Below are 25915 nucleotides of genomic sequence, written 5' to 3'. Positions count from 1 at the left end.
CTGTTTGATGGATCCATAAGATCACAGCTATAATAATTTGAAGTGATTCCAGATAAAACTAAATCAAGGTTAGCAAACTACTGTCAGGGACAAATGTAGCTTAAGGCCAATATGGTTTTCACATTTTCAAAGGGTTGTTTAAAAGCTAAACAAAGACTATCCCTCAGAAACCTATGTGGCCTGCAAAGCCTAAAATATTTACTATCTGGCTCATTACATAAAGAAATTTGCTGATCCCTGTTCCCTAACCTAAAAAACGAAAAGAGATTTTAGTTAGAATGCTACAGGTAATAGGTGGATTGTAGAACACTTAACTATATTCATTTTTCTTGCTGTAAGAGAGAAAATTCTAAATACTATTTAAAATGATGCTATCAATATTAAGGTATCATTTATAAAATGTTTGTCTTCCCAATGGGTACTGTCAACTCAATAGCCAAGAAAAACTAACATGCCCAATCAATTTATAACCAATAGCAACTCTCATATTTACTTGGACTAGTAATTTTAGTTGCTTTGCAATCCTCAGACTGTAACAAAAACGAAAAGAAATCCTTCATTGTTGATTACACTGGTAGAAAGATAACCAAATTCAGATTAGGATTTTAAGAATAAGAGGTATGGTTAGTTTAAATGTCTCTAAGGTAACTCTGACAGTCAATGTACATGGATATATGGTGTTAAACACCAATATGTGGTTCTGCGATTCTCAACCAGGGAATCATAATGGTATATTTGGAAACATGCAGGGTGTTTCTGTTTCTCATAATGACTGGCATGTACTACTAATATTCTGTGGGCAAGATCAAAGGACACTGAATATCCTGCAATGTAAAGGACAGTCTGCAAAAACCTGTCGCTCAAAATGCCAATAATCACCTGGTTGAGACTAACATAGTGATTGGAATACTCTTGGGTTATCTTTTCAAATGCAGGTAGCATATGTAGACCAAAAACAAGGAAGAATATGGTTCTGAGAATTTCATCCTCATTCCTTTTTTTGTCACTATAATTCAAGACTGACGGGAAGGGATAAAGATCAATTTGACTTATACCTAAAGAAGAAAAAAGTTCTCACTCTAACAATGGCTGGGTTCCCATAATCTCATTAAGCATAAAACTGTCCAAACACAGTTCCCAATAGGAAACTGGCCCTTTACTCCCTGAAGAAAATCATTCTTAACCTTGCCAAAACTCATTTCTTTACCAAACGACCTCAAATCAATCCCCAATTGATATGTCTTCTAGTGAAATTACTACACGACATACCAGTTGGTGAATTCTATTTCTTTGCTTGATTGACTGCTTTTTAGGTAGTTTTCTATCATTCATTCTAATTTCTATTTTTAATAATTTCTATTAAGTCATTAATTACAAAATCTAGAAATTAAGATGGTTTCAAATGGTTTATAATGGTTGGGCAACTGCTTATACATCCTTCCTGTCACACATTCATTGTGTGTGCAAATATTAACTGAACTAAACAAAATATCTTAGATGTCCTTCAGTTCACCGACTTGGGTAAATTTCTATTAACATTCTAGAAAACCAAAAGACATCAGAGCCATTAACCAAATCATATAGATCAAACAGCAAGGAATCTTGAAGATCAAACACTTACAAACATGGGTGATCTGGACTGGAATCTGCAATGCTGCCATGGGGCTAGAAGAGATGGCTGTATTATCTTCCAAGCGGGCAACTCTTATCTGAACATGCTGCACACTGGAATTGGTATTACTGTTTGGAACTCCAGATCCTGATTTATTCTCCAAAAGCGTTGGGTTGTTTTTTTGGTTCTCATGTAACTGTTTAAGACCTTTTATTAAGACTGAAGGGAGATGGGTAGACAAAAAGAACATTGATTCTCCGACAGACCACCATCTAAGCAGCAAGGGAGGTGGGGGGAGGTAAGGAGGGAAAGTATTTGGAATAAATAACTGCATACTGGATGTGAGAGCTTATAAAAATAAGATATTTTAAAAAACAACATATCCTGAGATTTTTATAAACATCGTAACAAATTTTAATTCTTAATATTGTTATTCTTGCCATCTAAGATTTATAGTGTTAAAAAAAGGTAGACATTACAAAGAACATGGAAACAGGACATTTTCTATTCTAGGGTGTCTTGATAGGATTATTATTTAGGAAGAATACTGGCAATGCTAAACAGCTTATTTTCATTTTTTAAACGAATAGTGTATGTTTTCCCCGCCAGGGCTGAAGGGCCCTTGACTGTTGGTCTAGAGGTAGCAACTTCTCTTTTCCAAACAGTAATATGGTATTCTTGCGCAGGGAAGCCAATTCTAGACTTTGCTTTGCTCTATTCGTAAAATACGCTTATCCTCTCTAACTGGATTTTTTAATTTAATTTTATTTTTAGACAAGGTCTTGCTCTGTTGCTCAGGCTGGAGTGGCATAATCATAGCTCACTGCAGCCTCGAACCCCTGGACTCAAGCCATCCTCCTGCCTCAGGCTCTTGCTCCCCAATAGCTGGGACTACAAGCACATGCCCACCATGCCTGGCTAATTGGTTTTTATTTTTTCTGTAGTAATGGGGTCTTGCTATGTTGCCCAGGCTGGTCTCAAACTCCTAGCGTCAAGTGATCCTCCTGCCTTGGCCTCCCACAGTACTGGGATTATAGGCATAAGCCACCACACCTGGCCTATACCTGGGTATTTTAAAAAACCACATTTTCATCAAGGCAAAGTTCCTCAGCATTAAATTTTCCTTTGGAATAATGGAAGTTAAGAGTGCTATAATAAGGGGAATAAATTTAGTAACCTAAATTAAACAGACTGTACAACTAAGTTTAATACCTAAATGCAAAACAGGCAACAAAAAGTATGCTTCACTTTAAGCAAACCCAACTTAAGATCTCTAGATTTATATAATTAATAAAATTAGAAAATTACAGAGCCTTTGTTCTACAAAATTATCACAGAATTTCTCTAACACACCTAGCTAAGATATTTGAAATTATACAACTCACAAAAGTTGACTTAAACTTAGGTTTTCAGAAGTACATCTTTGTACAAAATAAAAATATAGTCATCAATCACTTAAGGATGGGGATATGTTCTGAGAAATGAGCCATTAGGTGATTCTGTCATGGGATCATCACAGTGTACTTACACAAACCTAGATGGTACAGCCTACTACACACGTAGGCTAGATGATCTATACAGTCTATTGCTCCTAGGCTACAAACCCTTACAGCATGTTACTGTACCAAATACTGTAGGCAACTGTAACACAATGGTAAATATTTGTGTATCTAAACATAGAAAAAAAGTAAAAATACAGTATTTTAATATTGTGAGACCAATACTATGTATGACATCTGTTGTTGACTGAAAGGTTATGAGTGGCCAGCTATGCTGGCTCATGCAGGTAATCCCAGCACATTGGGAAGCCAAGCTGGGAAGATCACTTGAGCCCAGGAGTTGGAGACCAACCTGGGTAACATGGCAAGACCTCATCTCTACGAAAAAAAATAGCTGGACATGGTGGTGTGTGCCTGTAGTCCGAGCTATTCAGGAGGCTGAGGTGGGAGAATCACTTGAGCCGACAGGTTTAAGGTTACAGTGAGCTATGATCACACCACTGCATGTCGGCCTGGACAACCAAGCTAGACCCTGTCTCTAAAAACATAAAAATTAAATCGTTATGTGGCATGATTTTATTTCCTCCTGATAGTTTACGTAGAAGAACAAGAATAAGTGTGTACATTTTCATTTTAGGGGCTTTAGGAATTACAAACAGTATTAACTCTTCTCTGGGGAAGGAAACAATTACTGAGAGAAACAGGGAAGTGGTGTAAGTAGAAATCTGCTATGATATCTCTAGCTGGGGCAAAGAACTTCTAACCTCTCACTCCTAAGGAGTAAATATGGTAAGAAAAGGGGAGGAGCTTAAAAAGTAAGTAATACATTACCAGGGAACGAAACATCCTTATGGTTTGCAATTTGCCTTTTGATGGTCCACCATTTACTTCGTAGCCATTGTGGTGAACGGACACTACTCCATCCCTCAGCTAACAGATCCCAGTTAATGTCATTTTCATCAGCTACATCAAGTTCTGCTATCCTACAGTTACAAAATAAGCATCGTTAGACATTAAATTAATTTCTCTATAAGAACCCCTCCTCTGACTACAGGTAATTGCACTGGCAAATAAAGGGAATGGCAGGTTATGCCAATGAGATGCTATTGTTAAGTTACACGGGAAAGGATTCCAGGAGTGCAGATCTGCTTTCAGAGCTAACAGCTAAGAAATACCAACAGCAACCACTTTTAATTAAAGGTACAACCAATGGGCTAAACTATAAATGGTTAGAGCCAGATGAGGCACTGTGAAGGAAAAGGAGTATGCTAAAGGTTAGAATAAGAACAGATTTAGTTGTATATATGCAATGTTTCATAGTGTGGCATTTACTAAGTCATTTACTTCCTGGATCTGAGCGTTTCCATTGTTAAGCAAAAATATTTAGAAATGAGCTATTTATAAAGATGACTAGTTGAAAAAAAAATCCAAAACAAAATAACACAAAAGCAATAGCTGCAATCAAAAAACAACACAACAGTACAACAAAATTTGAGGTTTAAAAAAATCTGTTCGTTTTCTAGCTTTGTTGTGACAATTTGATTTTCGGTAGGGAGTAGCCATGGTGACAGTCTCTATTACTTCAGGGTCTTAAATAATTTCTTGCTAGTATTTTTGCCCATTTTAGTTAATAAATCTTAATGGTTAAACCAGCTACTTAAAAAAATAAGCTGGGATTATGATATCTTAAAGCTTTTTTGAATTTGTATGAAATGGATGTGTTTGATTTGGTCTACTTTGGAGGTGTGGAGGTAACTACAGACTGGGCCCCCTTCTTGGCAATCTTAGCACAGTAGCCAAGGATTGAAGGGCATGGAGACTGAACAGCCCTCTTATCCTAAACGTGTTCCCCCTAGGCTAGGACTGAGGCACATTGGTGGGACAGTGGAAAAGCTACACTGCCGCTGCCTGTGCCATACCTGTTCTGTGGATATAGAGAGGACTTCAGTCTCCACGCCTTCAATCTGGTACTTTGCATGAGCACTAAACCCACTAAAAAAAAAAAGGAACAAACACAACACAAAAAAAGAGCTCAATATGAAATACTTAAGATCTTAAACAGTAGTGCTCTATGGAAAGGATACTTTTCAGACACTAGGCATCCAGGAAAACCAAAAGAGGAAAGTCTATCAAGACATCCACAGAAATTAAGTTGCTTTTGTCATTACAAGATTCAGGACACAAACCTGAGGATGAGATTGATTTCATCTTCCTTGGTCCATTCAGTACCCCCACTCTGTTTCCAATTCAGGTAGTTGAGCCATTTAGAACGACATTGCTTTTCTGAGCGGGTACCGACTCGTTCAGCCACAGCTGCCCAAGACACACCCTGTGTGACTATGTCACCTGGCTCAGTGCTTGTCAACTCATGAACCACTTCTGCAAGTCTCTTTTCTTCTTCTTCTGTCCACTTCCCTGAAAAAAGGAAATCATCCAGACTACCACTGCTAACTTCTTTTACAAATCTGATTCAGCCCTCTATTTACAAGGACTGATAGGAAGTAAGCAATAGTACTAAGAGTTTGTTTCTGAATGACCCTCTGGTGGAAAACCATATATACCCACTAAGACAGTTTCATTTTACTAGCCCAGTAAGGGTCTCAGTAGAAAAGAAAATAAAGAATCCTAATGGAAAGCACTGACCAATTATGAAAAGAAAAACCACCCAAAACATAACTACAAAGAAGAATGTATTCTCAAGTTACACTAAGTCCTTTATAAACAGTGAAGTGGGAAGAGCTTCGTCAATGGCTGACAGACAAGAAATGGCATGCTTTTTTTCTTACTGTCACCTAAGATTCCCTGCTCTGCAAAAGTAAGTTCAAGAGGCCATTACTTATAGGAATGAATGATGAGGGACAAGGGAAATTACACCAATGGGCTCAACCTATTTTAGTAAAAACTAGGTTTCTACCATCTTGTTTCCTCACTATCCCAACTCCAAGCTACTGTGATGAAATATTAGTAAAGTCTGATACAAGTATTTACTTTTATTCCTGTGTTTTCTCAACCCATAAACCCACTAATAGATAACCCCAAATGTTCCTCTCTGTCTTTTTCTTATGGAGCTAGAGCAGAAAAACAGAAAGGGAAAAAAGCCATTTTTTTTCATCTTCTTTACCTCTGTTTCCATTTTGTTATTACTAGCTGAAAACCTCTAGAAAATTTCAAAAAGACTGTGCTTGCTTTGGGATTCCATTCATCTAGCAAATGTTTATTGAATTTTCATTATATGCCAAGCACAATTATGAATACTGTGGATGGATTCAAGACAAAGTTCTACTCTCCTATTCTAGCATGCTGTGAAAGGATGGGACTACTTTGAGACTGTGCTGTTTCATGGCATGGCCTCATCAGCAGCTGTATGTCACAACATGAGAAGGAAGCAGGCAGATCAATCAATCCCTCAGGTTGGCAATCAGGAAATGCCACTGTGTCCTTCCAAATTTTGTTACCAAAAGGGGTTCTGTACTCACAGCATCTTACATGAAACTCTGAGATCCTATCCTAAATCTAAAGCTTACAGCCCTGCTTCTTTCATTAAGCTGGCCATGTCACAGAATGACAAAGTTGGTAGAAGTTATGTTCTCACTGCCCTGCAGGTAACAGTGATAGTGCAGTAGTTAAGCAGGAAAGAATTCTGATTTCATTTTTAGAGCAGGGGGTTAAGGTCAAAATGTATATGCCCTGGAAGCTAAAGCTAAACTTCAGAAATTTTTTTTTTAATTGCAACAGTGGGCATGGATTGTGGATCCTTCAGAGAACATTATGGCTAAAAGGGCACTATGAGACCACCTACTCTAATCTCTTTACTTTACAGAAGGAAGTGAGGCTCAGAAAGGTTAAATGACAGTTAATAGCAGAGCCTAAATACGTTGTTGGTCGCAAAGATTAGGTTTAACAGTATGATCAGGACATCTGCATGCATTAAGAGGCATTTGTGGTCTTGCCAGGGGACTGAAACACCAATCATAAATTTTTTCTATGGAAAAATATACTTTGAGTTTAAAATAAGCAAAATATTTACAAATCTTTGGAACACAGCTTCTTCCTAATTTGGGACTTACCTGTGACTAAAGTTTTTCATAAACACTCACTGATTAGCTGTTGCTAATGTAAATTCAACAGTTAGATGGGCCTAAATTAAAATTACTTGCTGCATGTATGTCTTCAAAATACTTTCTCAACTGGGGAAGTATTGAAATTGTTACAAAACTGAAACATGTTAGATCTGAATCATCTTGACACTAAGGTGATGTTGTGTCCCTGAAGACAATGTTACCTTATACAAAAACAAAGTAAAAGATTAGTTTGATATATCTAATAAGCTCAAGGAAAAGGAAGACTAGAAAATAAAGTCTGAACTAAGGTGAATGATCTAAATCGCTCCCCAAGAGCAAAGAAAAGGCAGTATCCTAAGGGGCAGGAGGCTTAAGTGGTGACAAGAAAACGCTACCAGTAGTAGTCACAGTACCTGTGTTGCAAGTATCCTTCATCAGTCGGCACCGATCTTTGACAGAAGATGCACTTCTTCCTAGCGCCGCCCCTATTGTTGCCCAGTCATTGCCATGCTTTATCCGGAGCCTAAAACAAGAGTCTGCCAATCAGCATTTGGTTCAATTGTTTTCTCCCTTTTAATTTCATCATTTATTCTTCATTCTTCTTCTTCCCATTTGACTGGTTTGGAAGTTGTGGGCAGCAATACTTTGAGAGCCAAAGTTTGAAAGTGTGGCCTTTTTTTGGGGTCCACAGTTGTCTGTGGGTGAAAAAAAAACAGGCAGCAATTGCCTTTTTCCTGGGTCAGAGAAGAAATAAGTAACTTGGATATGTGTTCAAAAAAGACCAATTTCCCCTCAGGTTACTGACACAATCTCCCAGGCAAGCCCCAGACTTTCCCTTTTGAGCATATACCCAACAAACTCTTCTTTAGACATCTAAAGTTTCACAGGTCTTTATCATTATAAACAGAATCTACCTTCAAATTTTTTCATGATCCATACAATTCATTAAACCATACTTTAAGGTCTAACTCAATAAAGCAAAATTCTACTTCCTGAGATTCAATAGCCTTTGCAAGGTTGAGTCAGCCCAGATATTCACTGAAACATTTGCCAAGTCACCATTCTAAACCAAGCCATGTAGCACAACCCTGGTTTTCATCCTGGTATATAAATTCCCCAAATTTAGTCTTCAGGCTACCAAAAATGGCCCCTTAATCTTTTCTGGAACCCCTATTAGTGGTCTGAGGAAGCATCTGGTGAATGGCATCAGGAGACCAGATTATACATTATGAGAATGGTTATTTTGTGCAAGTAATGGATTTGATGTGATCTTTTTAAGGCCAATCATGCTTAATAGCACAATTCAATTATACCAGTCTGCCAAAAACCTCTTGAAATTTTCAAAGTAAAACTTTTAAGGACGTAAGACATAAAAAATTAGAATTAATGAAAAAAACTTTAAAACTTACTCCTTGAGCTTCTCAATTTCTTCAGGTGTATATCTAGAAATTCAGAGAAATTTTTAAAAAATCAATTAAAACAATGAATGCTAAAAACCTCAATAAAAATCAGAATTTCATTTAGGGAGCTGAATGTTAAGTCACTTAGCATATAATACTTTTAAAGTAACCCATTTTAAAGTGGATTAATAAAAGTTGAGAATAGGCAGGGTGCGGCTCACGCCTATAATCCCAGCACTTTGGGAGGCCAAGGCAGGCGGATCACTTGAGGCAAGGAGTTCGAGACCAGCCTGGCCAACATGGCAAAACCCCATCTCTACCAAAAACAGAAAAATTAGCTGGTGGCAGGCGCCTGTAATCCCAGCTACTAGAGTGGCTGAGGCAGGAGAATAGCTTGAACTCACGAGGCAGAGGTTGCAGTGAGCCAAGATCATGCCACTGTACTCCAGCCTGCGCAACACAGACTCTGTCTCAAAAAAAAAAAAAAAAAAAAAGTTGAAAATAAATGCTTCTATTTTTATTTTTTTTTAAACAGTAAATATTTTTTAGTTATAATAAAGGTAAGGATTGTATAATTTTCTCTAGAAAAAGAATCAACATTTAAAACATACATTTGCTCCTATGCTGTCTAACAGTTCCTTTATTTCAAACTTAGATTTTGGCACTCTCAAATCATAACTACTCCAAAAAAACTTATGGGTGACATTGTAAACTAGAGCTAAAAAGAAAATCTACAGAAAATTCCCTCAAAGCACTGAACAAATTAAGATTATCTTCATTTCCTTTACCCAGGTATGGACATCTGACATACTCTTGCTCTTTATTACAGTAGGCAAGTACTCAATACAGCCTATGTAATGTTCTTTTTAAAAATGTCCATTTAATAATTATGAAACGCTGCTCACTTTGTAACCATTTGTAATGCATGGAAAGTTTATGAATTGCTAACAAGTCATTTATGCTCCATTTAAAATTTTTTCTCTTTTTCCACTGTCACAAAAACATAATTTAATCCTCTTCAGCTTTCAAATGTACTTTCATTAGCAGGCTGCTGAAGAGCTAGAGAAAGAGCTCCAACATTAGCTCGGCAGTATCTAATAAGCCATACTACTGCCACCTAAAATTTCCAAAGAGAAATTAAAAATATGTCAGTAACAGTATATAATCATTGCATTTGAAGAATCTTAATGATGCCTTCCCATAAATGCTATCTAAAACAGAAATCCATACATTGTTTTCAGAAATGTAGTTCTTTTCCATTCTGGATTTAAAAAAAGGCCACTGACCTAGGAATGCTATATTCTAAAAATAAATAGGAAAAATGTTACCAATAAATTTCAAGTTATTTTCACACTTCTTAAATCTTTAATCATTACTGTATTTTTTATGTTACTTTACTACAAAGCAGACTTTGACATATTAAGTAAGCCAAGTCTTAAATCTAACCTATATAAAGTGAATTAGATCCTAATTTCTAAAAGAGGCTTTAATAATAAGGTTTCACCATATTCACAACATGGACCTGGAGGATAAAAATATTAACAACAATTAATACCTTGACCATATTTCTATTGTTTAAAAAAATGGACAGTTCCTCAAATATTTCCCCTAATTACATGAAAACATGCAGCATTACAAGTTCTCATACTTTCCCACATGGTTTCTGTCATCATACATGCGAAGCACTCTTCTATAAACTGCAAACAAAGGCCGGTTCAGACCCCATGCTATAGTCCTGTAGAAATCTTTTCTTTCGTCTTTTGACATCTCAAAGATGATTTCTGTAGCATCTTTTATTCCGCGTGCCTAAATGGGTTACATTTCTTTGATTTAGGGATTTCTGATAAAATGCATATGGATATACTATGCTTTTAAAATTTGTTTTAATGTTAAAGGTCATCAACGGCATTTAGAAAAATAATATATCACTAATTCATTAATAAATCAAATATAAACTTTTAAGATGATGCAAGAGATACAAAAGTGACACTTAAATGTTCCAAGAATAAACTATCAAATTCAATAAATTGAATTTCCATCAACTCTTTTAAAATTATAAAAAGTTAAAAATAGATCTAAAGAAAGCAGAAGGAAGAAAATCACAAGAGCAAAATCAATGGAATCCAGAATCAAAGCACAGAAAGGATAAACTAATCTAGAAATTGGTTCTTTGAAAACATCCATTAAGATTAATAAAACTTGAAATGATTAAAGTTCTGCCAAAATTTTAAAAAAAGACACAAACAGTATTAGAAATGGAAAAATGAGGCCTAAATAGAGACGCTGCAGAGATTAGACCATTAACAGAAATGAACAATTTTATGGTAATAAATTTAAATGTTGGTAAAATGAATCAATTCCTAGAAGACATCAAACATCAACTTACCAAAACTGACTCTGGAAGAGACAGAAAATCAAATAGGCACAGACCATCAAGAAAATCGAATCAGTTATTAAATAATCTTCTCAAAATAAAAACACTAGGCCCACATGACATAGATGACATTATAGGTAAATCCTACCAAATAGACACACAATCCTGTTCTTAAACTATCAAAAGTTTAAAAAAAAAAAAAAGTGGGTACATTTCTTTGCTTATTTTATCAGGCTAGCATAACCTTAATAGTGAAACCAGAGAAGGACAGTTTCAGAACAGAATTTTCAGGTCAAACGCATTCACTAACATAGCTATCCTAATAATATTTTAGCACACTGAACCCAGCAATGTATAAAAACATTAGTATGTCCACGTAGAAAAGTGAGTTTATCCCAGGAATACAAGTTTGTGTTAATTTCAGGGAAATTATTAATGTAATTAATCACATCAGCAAATTTATGGAAAAAAATGTAAAATCTCAACAGATGTGGGAAAAACATTCATAAAATTCAATATTCGTATGTCTTATCAAATTAGGATTCACTGATAATCAGATTTTTAAAAAAACCAAAATTATAAAGAATAGAAAAGATGAATCACTTGCGATATATATGTAGAAACCCAAAAATCTATGAAAAAAATATGTTACTTTAAAAAAGAACTAATTTTAGCAAGGTTGCTAGATACAAAATCAAAATGCAGTTATTTGCGTTTCTACACAGTTTACATAACATTTTAAAAAGCTCCCACACAGCGTCAAAATTAAGAGCATCAGAACTTAGGCAAGTTATCAATGTCCTTTATGGAGGAAAATATAAAACTTGATACTGAAGAGGAACTAACTAAATGAAGTTATACCATGTTCTTAAACAGGAAGATGACATACTGTGAAGATATTAATTCCCCCCAAGTTGATGTACAAATTCAATGCTATCCAATAAAAACTCCATTTGAGTGTTTCACTCTCTGTAAGCTGATTCTAAATTTATAACAAAAGAGCAAAGGGCCAAGAACAGCCAAGATATTTATGAAGAGGCTTGCCCCATCAGATATTGGGATTTCTGAAGACAGCGCTGTACTGGTGCAAGTATCAACAAACAGAACCTAAAAACAAGTTAGAAAACCTAGAAACAAATTTGTGGCAGCTTGATTTAGAACAGAATGGACACTGTAAATTAGGAATTAGACATCTACACAGAAAGAGATACAACTGAAATTATATCTCACACCTACAGCAATGAAATGCAGAATTATAAAACTTTTACAAGATAATGTGAGAATGTCTTCATGCCCTTGAGGCGGGGAATGATTTCTTAAACAAGCAAGCATGCATGCATGCAAAACAAACAAACAAAAAAGGTGATACATTTGATATTGCAGTTAAAAATCTTTTCTCATCAAATGACACCTAAAGAGGAGGAAAAGACAGGCCACTAAATTGGGACAAGGTATCTGTAATACAAATGACCAATAAACCATTAGTACCCAGCATACATTAAGAAAGTCTAAGTTAAACAAAAGTTAACTCCACAGAAAAACTGGTGAAAGACACAAACAGGAATTTCAAAGAAGAAACACAAATAGCCAATAAGCATATCAAAATGTTATCAGAGAAATAAATTAAAACCATAATTAACACCCACTAGATTGGTACAAATGAATAATAAAAAACTAAAAAGAACCCAAATGACCATTAACTGTGAAATGGGTAACTTGCACATTTGCACAATGAAATACACCTAAATAAATGGGTAAGGATATTAAAATAATACTGAGTTACAGAATATCCAGAGAATGAATCTATTTATATAAATTTCAAAAACAGGTGAAATCACAGTGTATGCATTTTATACACTTTTGAATGTATGAAACTTCACAGCAAAAAATTTCTAAATTTTAGAATGGTTTCTAAAATTCTTTCTTATGCAATTCCAATTTTGCCAATGATTAAACCTAAATATTTACTGAGCTACTACATGCAAGCACACTGTGTTGCAGGATGACCACAGAGTGAGATGAAAGATTCTCCTGCCTCCACACTCCTTGCCCTTTTTCTTGCTTATAGACGTTACTTGCATTTATCCTTTAACCCAAATATGAAACATATGACACCCAATTAATTCGAATTCTCTGAAGTTTAAAACTAGCTCTACAGAAGTCTTAGAAGAGCACCACATAATAAAAGCTATGGTCAAAAACCAAAATTGAACAAATCATCTTTTTCCAAAATAATCTTTTGGACATTTCCTATTTCTGCCAATCTGATCATCATTCTCCCAATCACCTAAAATAAAAACTCTTAAGTTGCTCTAACTCCTTTTCCTTCTTGCCCAACATTCAGTTCAGGCATCCTTGCAGATACTTGGTTATCTGCCCTTTCCCTACCAATTCTATTTCTACCACTGTAGTTTAAGTCCTTTGCCACAATCAGTTGGTCTACTGAAACAGTCCTCTAAAAGGTCTCAAATCCTACTCACACTCCTGCCCATTAATCACTAACTTGGAAGGGTCCTTGAGATCATCTACTTCAATCCCCTAGACAAGAAACCAGCTTAATTCTCAAAGTTCAGTGTTCCTTAGCACTGATTACTGCTTTATCTAAACTAATAGCATTTTCCAGGTTTAACTAAAGCATATGTGACTAGAGGACAACTGAAATACACTTCTGGATTCATTTTCAATGGCCACTGTATTTCTGTTTCTCTTAAAACAACAAACATGGTGGAAGGATCTCATTTATTAGTGAAGAATTAGAGTTTTAAAATTCTGTATTTCAAAGAGCTTAGGTTGGGAAAGTTGCAGTTAAAATTAAACTTAAAAATGTGGGCCTTCTAGGCAGCACTGCGTTTCTACATTAGTGTAGAGTGGAAAAGAGTAAGCAGTCAATATACCAAACGATAGGAGAATGGTTAAACACCGTACACCATCCTTCCCCAAATGATGCTAATGATCTACATTTTAGACATAACACTATTTGAATCTAACTCCATTACAGAGATGGCCAGCAAGTCTCTAGAAAGATTTCCTTGAGAATACAGATTTACCCCACCAATTTCTTACTCAACTAAACTACTAGCTTTTCTTAAACCCTTTAATGCTTCTCATCTCTTATAGGATAAAGTTCAAATTCTTTGGCATGGACTTCGGAGCCCAGTTTTCCAGAGGCTATTTATCTTAGTTCAAGGTAAAGGGGTTAATTTAATGTGTGTTGGTTTTGATCTTTGATTTCTTGCTGCTTCGGCATGTATTCATGCAGTTCCCTCAAGTTCTACTCTAGCCCAAGTTCTATCCTTTAAGACAGCTCAAATCCTTTCTCTACCAAAATTTTCCATAACTGCTCTAAAAACTCTTCTTTCTGTAATCTTGTACAGAATTCACATGTATCATTCACATGATACCAGGCTTTCTAACACTCTTCACCTGTTTCCAGTCTGCCCAAATGGATCACTGACTTCAAAAGCAAACACTGTTAAAGCAATCCATGCCTTAACACAATCCAAAGCCTTAAAAATACTGTGTTCAAAAGACATTTAATGAAGAGTACTAAGCTAATAAGAAATAAACCTGAATAAGAAAATAAACTAAATTTTTGATTTTTTTTAAAAGGTAAGGACTACTATGACATCAAAAATTCATTCAAAGATGCATACCTTAGCCGGGTGCGGTGGCTCATGCCTGTAATACCAACACTTTGGGAGGCCGAGATGGGTGGATCACCTGAGGTCAGCAGTTTGTGGCCAGCCTGGCCAACATGGTGAAACCCCGTCTCTACTAAAAATATAAAAATTAGCCGGGCGTGGTGGTGCATGCCTGTAATCCCAGCTACTCAGGAGGCTGAGGCAGGAGAATATAGCTGGAGCCCAAGAGACGGAGGTTGCAGTGAGCTGAGACTGTGCCACTGTACTCCAGCCTGGGCAACAGAGCAAGACTGTCTCAAAAAAAAAAAAAACAAAAACAAAACAAAACAAAACAAAGATGCATACCTTAAGCTTTAAACAAAATAAATTAAACTCTATAGGCTTCTTGAAAAGATAAGGCTTTAAAATGTTGAGAGGCTACTAAGATTTTATCTAAACTTTAGGGTGGTAACTAAAGCAGTAAAGCTATTTTAAACTGAGAATTCAAAATATTATTGTACTATAATAATGTATTTTAGAATTATTCAGCTACATGTTAGCCATTATGAAAATCCATTACAAAAATAAGTAAAAAGCTCCTAATAAGTGCACACAACATTCTGTGTTGATATTTTTGCAATTGGCAATAAACAAATTGGTGAAACATAAAAATATGCCATAAGATACCTTAAGATAGCGTTCAATATTGTTCATCAAAATATCAATTTCTTCCTTGGACCACATCCCCTGCTTCCATTTATGTCCTTTAAAAGAAAACAAGTAATGTTATAAAAAATGTTACTCCTTGAAAGAAATAAAACACCAAAGATTTCCTTTGTGATTAAATTATATTTGGGGATAAAATTTAGCTAATTTCATTTCTCATTCCTCTGAAATCTGAAAGGTCTCTAGGTAAACTTGCTTTTGTAACTTCTGGTTTTTACGCTAGAATACATTTATTTGACCCTACTAAAAAAAGACAATGGTAATTAAAAGATTTAAAAAAAATTACCTCTCTTAGCCTTTCAACAATATAGAACAGCTAAAAAGAAACTTATAAAAATAAAAAAAGCCAAACATGCTCAAAACTTTTTGAAAAATTTCTCCAGTGAAAATTTTATGGGCAAAAAGAACACATACAAAAAACTCTAGGGCAAGGTAAATATTGAATATCAAGTGAATAATGTATTCTTAATGAGTATTTACTATACAGTGGTTGAAAATTATTTACGTTTTTCTGCTTCCTTTCTGTACTTCAGAGTGGCACAGACACAACCCTCACTTTTTTGTAGCACCTTCCCCAGCTATGCTTGAGCATAGCCAACACTGTAAACACTATGTTACCTTGAGCCTCTAAGCTGCTTATCAGACCAAAGTTAGTAGACCCTTGAAAAGGCTTGACTTCCTACTCTCATAAGCAATAACTATATTGTCTTAAATGCCACCACTATGCATTTGTTCAAAAATTAACAAGACAAAATTTACTTCAAATCAGGGGAGAAATAATTAATTACTGAAAAACAAATGGTGGTTTCATAACCTTAATTCAAAGTCATTTGGGGCCAAATTTAATTCAGTTAGAAAAGCTCAATTACTCTAACTGCTCAATCCCAGTGATGAAGGTCCAACTCAGAATCCTGATGACTATAAGCCCTTTCTATCTCCATTTTTTTTCACTAGGCACTAAAATTCACAGTGTTATCTTACCTTTATTAGTCAGAGAATCCTTATCTTCTTTAGTTGTAAACCATGCTTGGCTAACTGCTGAAACTTCCTCGTTACCCAAGGGAGATATTTCATCTAGTTGCTCATTCTGCAAAATCTTGAAAAGGTAAAAGTAAAACAAAACAAAACAAAACAAAACAAAAAAATGGCAGCTTGATTTAATGCTCAACCGGATTCATCTTTGTAATGCTAAGCATTATAAAACTTAAATATAGTCATATGGAATTCACTTGTTTTAGATATAGTAAAAATATATCCAATTTACAAAAAAATATTTCTTGCTGTTTTTATTATGGCAGTATGAAAACAAAATTATATGCATTAACACAATATGACCTTCATTTAAGCAAGTAAATGTACTATTGGCTTCAGTTTTATATAAAATGGGCCAAGAGTCCATTAAGTATTTAAATCAACATAGAATATTCAGGGAAATTTAAATATTTACACATGTAAATGAGCTCAATATACAATATACAGTTATTATCTGTTCTAGATAGGAAAATGGAAGTCCTAGGGTTGGGTGTTATGATTTGTTAATGCCCTCAGAGATAAGCTTGCTGCCTAAATCATCAATAATGTCATCTCTTAACTTAAAATATTAACAGGCACAATCATAAGTCATTATTGCAAAATCACTGTCCGCTTATTGTTTTCTGACAACTTTGCTTTAGCCAACCTCTAGAGCCTTATTAATGCACCTTTCTCTCAAAGAACTATATGGTACTACTTATTCTTAATGCAGCTAAGTCTTCTGTGCAACCACCACTAGCTGTATTTTCAGTTACAAGCATATCTAATCTAACAAACCCTGTAGGGGAAAAAAGCTGCCTTCGGCAGAGTTGACCCTGGCCTAAAGAGAACCGTAATGTAAATGAGGAAGACCTGGCAACAGTGCTACCGTATGAGGTATTAGCCTATCGTAAGCAGAATAAGGGAAGAGTCACGTATTTAGTGACCACTGAACCCAATTCAGTCTCTGGGCTAAAAAAAGACTAAGCAATGTCACCGGCTGAAGGTAAATCCTAAGAAGGACTGGACTACTACTTCTTGAATAAACAGAAACTGAACTTCTAATATAAAGAGAAATTGAAACCCATCTCTCTTGGAAAGAGATAAGTTGTCCTCATCTCTCTTGGAAAGAGGTAAGCTGTCAGTGGACAACCAAGGTACAATTAGGAGAAAAGCCACATTTCTATTGTTGCCTATTACTTTACTTTTATATCTGGTGGTAATACATATAGTGTGTTTATGAAAGCGTTTTTGAATCCATGGGCAAAAAGCTGGAAATCACTGGAACAAGTGTGAATAAGTTTTATAGCCCTCTATTTACATGTCATACTTTTTGATTTTTTAAATCAAGAGGGACCTGTATAAAGCTAAGAATTGAGACAGACTATATGTGTCTAAGGCTTCTTATATTCTGAAGATCACAATTTTTATAAGATTTGATCCTAGAGTTATACATCAGTAAAGAGTGTAACAGAGAGCTATCAAAAGACCTTGATACATACAATACTCACTTTTAAGAACTATAATGTAGAAAATACTCTTAAATTATCTTCTCTTAATCAGTTGGATATGAGAATCAAATCACCATTTCCCAAAGTATGTCTATATAGCAGAGCCCATTCCATGAACCTTAGGAATAAGTCTGTTATGCTGATTAACCACTATTTGGGGGCAAACATTTAATGCCTTAGGGCTCAAATTTTCCCTCAAATGAGCAAATAATTCTTAAGCAATAGCAGTAGTATTCAACACTGTCAATAAAATGAGTTTAGTGAGTACAACAGCAGGAAACTCAGGTACCTTGAAGGGTACCTATCTATGTATGACATATAAATATTAATCAGTCTTAGAGTATTTTACCCCCATTTTTCACTACTTTATGCATCTATTAAGTTGACTCAGCTTTATTTAGTATGCTGTTGCTTTTAAAATGAAGCTTTTATGAGTTGGTTGCAGGATTTCATGCCTATAATGTATATATAAGGCTTAGAAATTAAAATATTCAGCCCACTGAAGACCTCTTGCAACCACAAAGTACTATATACATAGGGACTTATAATAGTTTCTAATTGTTTTTCAAGCTAGTCTCATCACTGGAAGGAGACACAGTACATTAACTACCAAACTATGTCAAAATAGCTGCACCTGGTTCACAGCAAAGACACAGTAAGAAACAGACTATTTCTGAGGGGGTTTTTAACTATGCTGACTTTCAGTTCACATCTTGTCCATTTTGTGTCTAAAGTTAATCTTATTAAACAAATACTAGAAATTATTATGAAAAGTTTTTTGTTCACTAAAATGGTGATAACAAACCAAGAGGCTAAATATTAAATTATAACTCAACTCTTTGGCAGTAATCAAAACAAAAAAACTTTGTAATTTGTTTCATAATAAGGGCTAAACCTGGGCACAGTGGCATGTGCCAGTAGTCCTCGCTACTTGGGAGGCTGAGGTTTCTCATCATTTTATTAGCTAAGCAATGTGTAAAGGATCATCCTCCTGAGGCCAGTTAAAAGATTTACTATACCTGTATCTGTGTCACAGTCCCCTCAGTAACCTCATCATCTGCTACTTCTGTGGTTGCAGTCATGGTCACTTCAAAGCTCTGATCATTTTCTGAAACTTCAAGAAAAGGAACCGTTCATCTCCAGAATAATAACGGCAAGTTCTAATTATTCTAAAAATATCCATGGGAAAAAAAACATGATCATCTAATTTCCTAACACACTCCTTGTTAATACATCTTCACATACATACATTCATTTGCTTAATAATACTTAATGTGCACCTAATTCATAGTAGATATTGCTGTGGGTGCTGGGGATATAGCAGTGAGCAAGGGAAACAAAAATCCTTTCTTCATGGAGCCTGTATTCTAGTGGGGAAAGACACAAAATGGACAAGATACTACGTTGGATGGTGATTAGTAGTGAGAAAAAACCTAACAGGAAAGGGAATGTGTTGGGGTGGAGGATAGTATTTGAAATTTTATATAGGAGGCTAGGAAAAGTGACCAAGACTTGGAACAAGTGAGGATGGAAGCTAGTTTTACAGGTATCTCAAGGAAGAGCATTTCAAGGAGAGCCAAGTGCAAAGGCTCTGAGACAGGGCATGCTTGGAGTGTTCACGAGAATAGCAAGGAGGCCAGTGTAGCTAAAGCAGACTAAACAAGAACAGTAGGAGATTGTGTAAGCCCTTGTAAGCCAGAAGGTTTTGGTTTTAACTCTTAGGTGGGAAACGACTGGAAGATTTTGAATAGTGGAATAATATAATCTTTTATTTTAAGAGGCTCACTCTGGCTGCTATAAGAAAAACAGTCTGAAGGGCAAATGCAAAAAAGATAGGTCAGTGGCTTGGACTAGGGTGAAGGCAAGTGAGAGTGGCTGGTAGTTCAAATTGTGAATGTATTTTGGATGGCAGAGCCACTATGATTTGTAGACAAAGAAGAGATGGAAGAGACTGAAGAGCCAAGGATAACGTTAAATTTTTTTAAAAAAAATCAAAACTACTGGAAGAATACACCTGCTACTAATTAGTAGGAGAAGATTGTAAAAGAAGCAAATGTAAGGATTCAGGAAGTTACAGAACCTCTGCTTTAAATACATTAGTTTGAGACAACTGCTAAATATTTAGAGAATGAGAAGTCTGGTCTGGAATAAATCTGGTAGTTAACACCAGATAGTATTTAAAACCTTGAGTTGAGATCACCTAAAAAGTGAGTAAAGAAAACAAAGAAGCAGTCTAAGGACTTAGTCCTGGGGTGCTCCACATTTAGAGGTTCTGGTGACATGGAAAAGTCAGCAGTGGAGACTAAGAAGAAATGGACAGAAAAATAGAAAACCAGAGGAATGTTTTCTACAGGCCAAGTGAAAACGTTTCAGGGAGGAGGGAGTAATAAATATTGTCAAAAGTTGCCAACAGATCAAGTAACGCAAACACTAAAAAAGTGACCATTGAATTTGGCAACAAGAAGGTCTTTGGAGAGCTGGGAAAAACAGTTTAGTTAAGGGGTGAAAGCTTGACTGGAGTAAGTTTAAGGAAAAAGAGGAAAGGAAATGAAGGCAAATATAGGCAATTTTCAAGGTATTCTGCTCTAAAGGCAAGGAGGAAAATTGAGTAAGAACCAAAAGTGAGCTAAAGGAACTTTTTATTTATTTTTTTGACAGGATCTTGTTCTGTTGCCAGGCCAGAGTGCTGTGGCACACTCACAGCTTACTGCAGCCTCAACCTCCCAGGCTCAAGCAATTCTCCCACCTCAGCCTCCCTAGCAGCTGAGATTACAGGCGTGCACCACCACACCCAGCTAATTTTTGTATTCGTTGTAAAGACAGAGTTTTGCCTTGTTGCCCAGGCTGGTCTCAAACCCCTGGGCTCAAGCAAACTGCCCGCCTCTGCCCCGCAAAGTGCTGGGATTATAGGCATGAGCCACCATGCCTGACCAGGGACTTTTTATTTTAAGGAAAAATAACAGTATGTTTGTGATACTGTGGGAATGACTCAGTAGAAGAAAAACTGGTGATACAGAAGAAACAAAATAATTATTGGAACAATGTCCTTGAGTAGGTAAAGGGGAAGAAATTAAGTAAATGGAAGGGTAGGCCTAAGATAGGACAACAAATATATGGATGGACATAGATGCAGGTAGGTATGTATTTGTGGTAGTGGGAATTTGTAGAAATTATTTTCTGGTTACTTCCATTTTCTTTGTGAAGAGGGAATAGGGTTATCAGCTCAGAGTAAAAAGGTGGAAAAGGTATTTGCAAGTTTCGGGACAAATGAAACAGTCATCTCAGAGTGGGAAAAAGAACACTAGAGAGCTGTTGTTACTGGTGGGCAGCATTATGAGCCCACTTCAGGTTAATGATCAGGAATTAGAGTGAGAATAGTCAGCCTGCTTGTGCCATTTTTCTCTAATACTTTTCAATTAGCTGCACTGGTACAGAAATAAACAGACAAAGACAGATTTAGACAGTTATGAGTTCACCAAATAAGTGAGAGAAAAAAAAGGACTTGGTGAATGCAAGACAGTGATTATAATGATTAACCATAAAAGTAAAACAGGGTAAAAAAGAAAGAAAGGATACAAGTAGAGAAGGAACAATGAAAACGTAACAGGATCAATGGGGCCCAGTGAGGCAAAAGACTACAGAGTTAGAGCCCTACAGGAAGTGAGCTGGAAAGACAGAAGTAGCGGTAGGAAAACAGAAAGTCTGAAATAGATCACAAATGGACTCTAGTAATAGGTAAGAGTGGTAAAGGGAGTAATAAATGGAGAACAAAAGGAATAAGAGGCTAAGGTACTGAAAGAATCATCTAGATGAATACTGTAATCACTATACAGTTACAACTATAAATAGGGAATGGGATAAATGTAGTGGCAGATGACTACAAAAAGAAGTGGTGAGTTAGAATGATTAATATGAGAGTTAGGCTGATGCTGTGAGGATTTTTACAATCTAGACAGATAAACTTTATCAGTCTTATTGCTAAACATAAGGCTTCAGTGTGTCTTCCATATGTGATGATGCTATGACCCAACATTAAGCAGCTCATGTGCTTTCATGTCAACATACCTCTATTATCTGAAGCTAAGTGAACAGCGCCATGAAGGATTTGGTTTACCACCATAAAATAAAACTAATACCAAGTGTAGTTTGAACCTACAATCATGAACAAGACATTGCACTTTAACAAAATGAATTGGTTGAAGTCAATTTATATCAAAATAGCCACTCAAAAATTCTAGCTTAGAAAATATTTAGGATTACATCTGTATAGATAGGCCAATTAAGTTTTAGAATTGAATCACAACATAATGATAGTCAAATTAGGAAAGATTTTAAAAAAACATAGGAATCATCAGGAGGAACGAATATTTAATTAGAAATGTTATGCTTGTCTATGCCACAACTGGAAGCAATATTAACACTGTTTTTCAATTAAGTCTTACAGTAAACTAAAAGTTTTTCTGTTCAATTTAGCAAGCAATTAACTCTAAATTCAGAGTACATATCTACTTGTTAAGATATGATAGATATGATTTTCCATGCTGAAAACCAAGTCTTGCTTTTTCAAAAGATGAAGATGTGATTTTGCCTGATGCTGAGTGTAAAATCAAAGTTCTCAGCTATGGCAAAACCCTCCTTTGTGCTAAGAGTGCCAACAGCCATGTGTTGCATCCCCATTGCCATGGACAAAAGCATCTACTCCAGAATCTTCCTGAACACTCCACACTCTTTGCTAAGCAAATCAGAAATACAACCTAATGTTGCAGTTGGTATGCTGTCTTGTGCCAACAGTATTGCACTTGAAATATTGTACCTCCTATAGAAGCCAGTCTACTCTAAATGATCTTGAAATAGAAACACATTAAGAACTTTCTCGGTAAGAATAAACTAATTAGGCTTCTAACTTTCATGCTGTCATACAGCATACTGAAGAGGCAATATGGCATTGGGGTTAAGAGTATGTATTACAGGAACCAGAATGCCTAGATATGCTCTTAGCCAAGTTATTATAATTTTCTGTGTCTCAGTTTCCTGACTTATAAAATAGGAATAACAATATTAGTACCTATTGTAAAGCATGCTTTCTTCTCAATGAGGGCAAATATGGTTCTTGGGGTAGGGGGAAATGCATGTGACAAACAATTTTATTATCTTTATGAACAAAGCAAGGACATACAGACAGTACATTAAGAAATACAAGCTATTTTTGAGGACATTTTGTAATTTTCATGAAAAGCACAATCAGGAATAAAAGTCTAAAAAGGCTCCTTGTGGGGCAATTGAAAAAAAAAAGGTTGGGAAGATTAAAGTAGGCAATATACATAAAAGTATTTAACGATATGCCTGGCACATAGTATTTATTGTTAGCTAAAAAGAGGTGGTTTGACTAAATGAAGAAAAAAGCAGTAAGTCCAAGTCTATTAGAAATGCCAACTGAAAGCCTTGGAAGCTAAACTTTGATTTTAAAAGGGAACTCTATGGCTCTTAATACGTAGTGACTTACGTGGAAGTGCAACAACTGATATGCAAGGAGTAGAATCATCAATACTCTGATCATCCTCAGAGGACAAACAAAGCCTTTTATGTGGAGGTTCAATACTATCTTCTGAGTCTATTTCATCCGCTTCTAATGGAAGAAAACAAACAAACAAAAATTTCAAACCAAAGAGGGAAAATAAAATCTCTAACAATGGCTCTACAATTTTCTTATCTATTAAAAAAATTTTCTTACCAATTTGCTCATTTAACTAAACCTAGTTGTGCAAACAGGATTCAAAAGGACACTGCCTTTCTATGCCTACTGCAATGCAGTATTCAACTCCTCAAGGCGGTGTCTTAAACTTGAAAGAGAAGGGAAGCCCGGGGAAAACTGCTATCTCTCTTGGCAGTAGAAGCAATATGTGCAATGACACAGACGTATGAGAAGCTTAAGGTATAGGTATGTTAGGAAAATAAAGATAGTGTGATCTGCTGGAACACAGGTATATGAAATGCGGCAGGAGGTAAGACTATGAGGAAAGCAGAAATGACTGGGGCCTATGGGCCAAATTAAAGAACCTGTACTATATTCTAAAAACCTTGGGAAGCTTTATGCTATTAAATGTATCAGGAACAATTTCATCAGCTGCTTGAAAGACGAATGATAGGTAGGACACTGGTTAAAAGGGTATTAGAGCTACCTAGATGAGAAATGAGAAACTGAACTAACAAAGGCAGGCTTGAAACAGAGAGGATGCAATGGATTTAAAAAACATAATACTATCAAGAAGTCTTCAAATGAAATGATGCAGGTGATGAGAGAAGTAATTTATTCCCAACCACATTCATGATCTGGACACTAAGTAATGAAATTCACAGAGAAAGGAAAAAAGAGAACTAGGTTTAGGAAGTACATGTAAGGATTGTTTGGGACATATGAAACTTAAGATGCCTATGAGAAGCACAGAGAATTCTGTATAAAGACAGATTCTGAGTCATCTTTATAGGTAGGTGCTACTTAAAATCCTAACTTTGAATTAAATAACCTATGAATTATATACAGAGTGAGAAGAGAAGACATAACCTAGGTTGAGTAAAGATGAACTTCAGAGCACAATAAATAAATGACATAAATAATGAGCAAGTCGGGGAGTAACAACAAAATTATCAGCTGGAAAGCTATTGAATCTTAATTCATTGTAGATCACCATATTAAGTCATACTGAAATGATTGTGTACAATTTTTTAACACAGTTTCTAACAAAAAAGTCTACTTGCATTGAGGAATAATTCTACATTTTCTAATGTATTAACTATGCTGCTGGTACCAATTAGTATAAAAAAAGAAGTATATATTATAGTTATTCCATCATTACCTTTGGGGGCTCAACAGATCCTATTTATAACATAGCAACAAGATTGACAAAAACTAACATTTATGTTAAAGAGATAATCTCCTTTTCTACTGTGCAGCCTAAACTCATAGGCACCTAGACCCCTATTTGGGCAATAGGGGTCAAAAGTGACATGGAATTCATAAATTCAGAGAGTCAGAATTATATGTCAGCAAGTTCTCCTACCATTCTGAGGGCAGTGAAGAATGAGATTCCCTTCTGTGTCCTGAGTCAAAGTCACAGAGTTCACAGTTTCTACTGTTACTGTGTCAGAATCCTCTTCCACTGTGCTCATACTCAAATCTGTACAAGAACAGATTCCAGATCAGGATTTCAAAAATTATTCCCAAATATGAAGTATTCCCTTATAATCCCCTGAAATACCACACACATTTATTTGGGTATCTGCCTACAGTGTTCTTCATGTAAAACTGCAATGAGAGTTCAGATTTCAAAAACTGCCTTTCACAAATTTATACCCATTATTTAGAATTAGATATCTCAAAGAATCTGTTTGCTCTGATAAATTTTAAAAACCTACAACATTTGTAATACTTTAAAAAACGTTTTTGCAACATCCAACAAAAGAGAATCCGTCTTATCAGCAAAACTTTCCCCACTTTTTTACTGTGTTTTTATGGACAGCTTTGTAGGTACTTAACTTCTTTTTCTTTAAGCAGAAGATTCATCAAAACTTTTATCTTAAGAATTATTTTTTCAAAACATTTTTTACAGGTATTTAAGCTCTATTATCTGAAAAACAGGAACACTAAATAATTCTTGCTGTGTTTTCAAAATATTGAAAAAGTGCATACATCCATCACTGACCAAATTGTAATTTTAAAAGACGAGTTAGTCCTTCTTTTGAAACAGGTAACTTTGAACATCGTTCAAAGTATCCTTACCTGCTATTTTACACAAATATTATTTTCCTCTTGTTCAGACAGATGGAATAACTAGTCTCAGAATATAGCATCTCATGGCTAGTGGGGGGAAAGGTATGAAACTATAATCAATAGCCTGGTTGAAGTCTTCAGAAATACCTTATAAGGTTTAAGGAGGTTCTTGCCTCAATACTCACTTTTGGCACGTATGTTTTACCAACTAAATAATACAGAGGACACAAACCCTGATATAATTACTCAATGTTTATTAAGCTTTTTTTTTTTTTTTTTTTTTTTTAGAGAAGGCGTCTTCATTGTTGCCCAGGCTGGAGTGCAGAGGCTATT

General features: G+C 35.6%; 1 protein-coding gene across 53 annotated transcripts in view; it reads right to left on the bottom strand.

Annotated features, from left to right (window-relative positions):
- The window catches only part of DMTF1 (cyclin D binding myb like transcription factor 1), a 43873-nt gene that overhangs the window by 6403 nt on the left and 11555 nt on the right, over nucleotides 1-25915 (bottom strand). For 35 of the 53 annotated variants that reach the window (XM_047421106.1, XM_047421102.1, XM_047421123.1 and 32 more), the window contains 11 exons: nucleotides 24873-24989; nucleotides 23318-23440; nucleotides 18834-18928; nucleotides 16274-16388; nucleotides 15254-15330; nucleotides 10221-10378; nucleotides 8582-8614; nucleotides 7586-7695; nucleotides 5298-5526; nucleotides 3943-4094; nucleotides 1622-1831 (listed from right to left, as the gene is read on the bottom strand). In XM_047421106.1, coding sequence (XP_047277062.1) covers nucleotides 1622-1831; nucleotides 3943-4094; nucleotides 5298-5526; nucleotides 7586-7695; nucleotides 8582-8614; nucleotides 10221-10378; nucleotides 15254-15330; nucleotides 16274-16388; nucleotides 18834-18928; nucleotides 23318-23440; nucleotides 24873-24981 — 1411 coding nt within the window. In that variant the 5' untranslated portion in view covers nucleotides 24982-24989. Of the gene's footprint in view, nucleotides 1-1621; nucleotides 1832-3942; nucleotides 4095-5297; nucleotides 5527-7585; nucleotides 7907-8581; nucleotides 8615-10220; nucleotides 10379-15253; nucleotides 15331-16273; nucleotides 16389-18833; nucleotides 18929-21879; nucleotides 21967-23317; nucleotides 23441-24872; nucleotides 24990-25915 lie in introns of those variants that run through there. The other 18 variants (XM_047421116.1, XM_047421119.1, XM_047421133.1 and 15 more) reach the window with 5 other exon arrangements.

This window comes from Homo sapiens, chromosome 7 (assembly GCF_000001405.40).
Source record: "Homo sapiens chromosome 7, GRCh38.p14 Primary Assembly".
Taxonomy (NCBI): Eukaryota; Metazoa; Chordata; class Mammalia; order Primates; family Hominidae; genus Homo; species Homo sapiens.
This window is presented reverse-complemented; position numbering and strand designations above follow the sequence as displayed.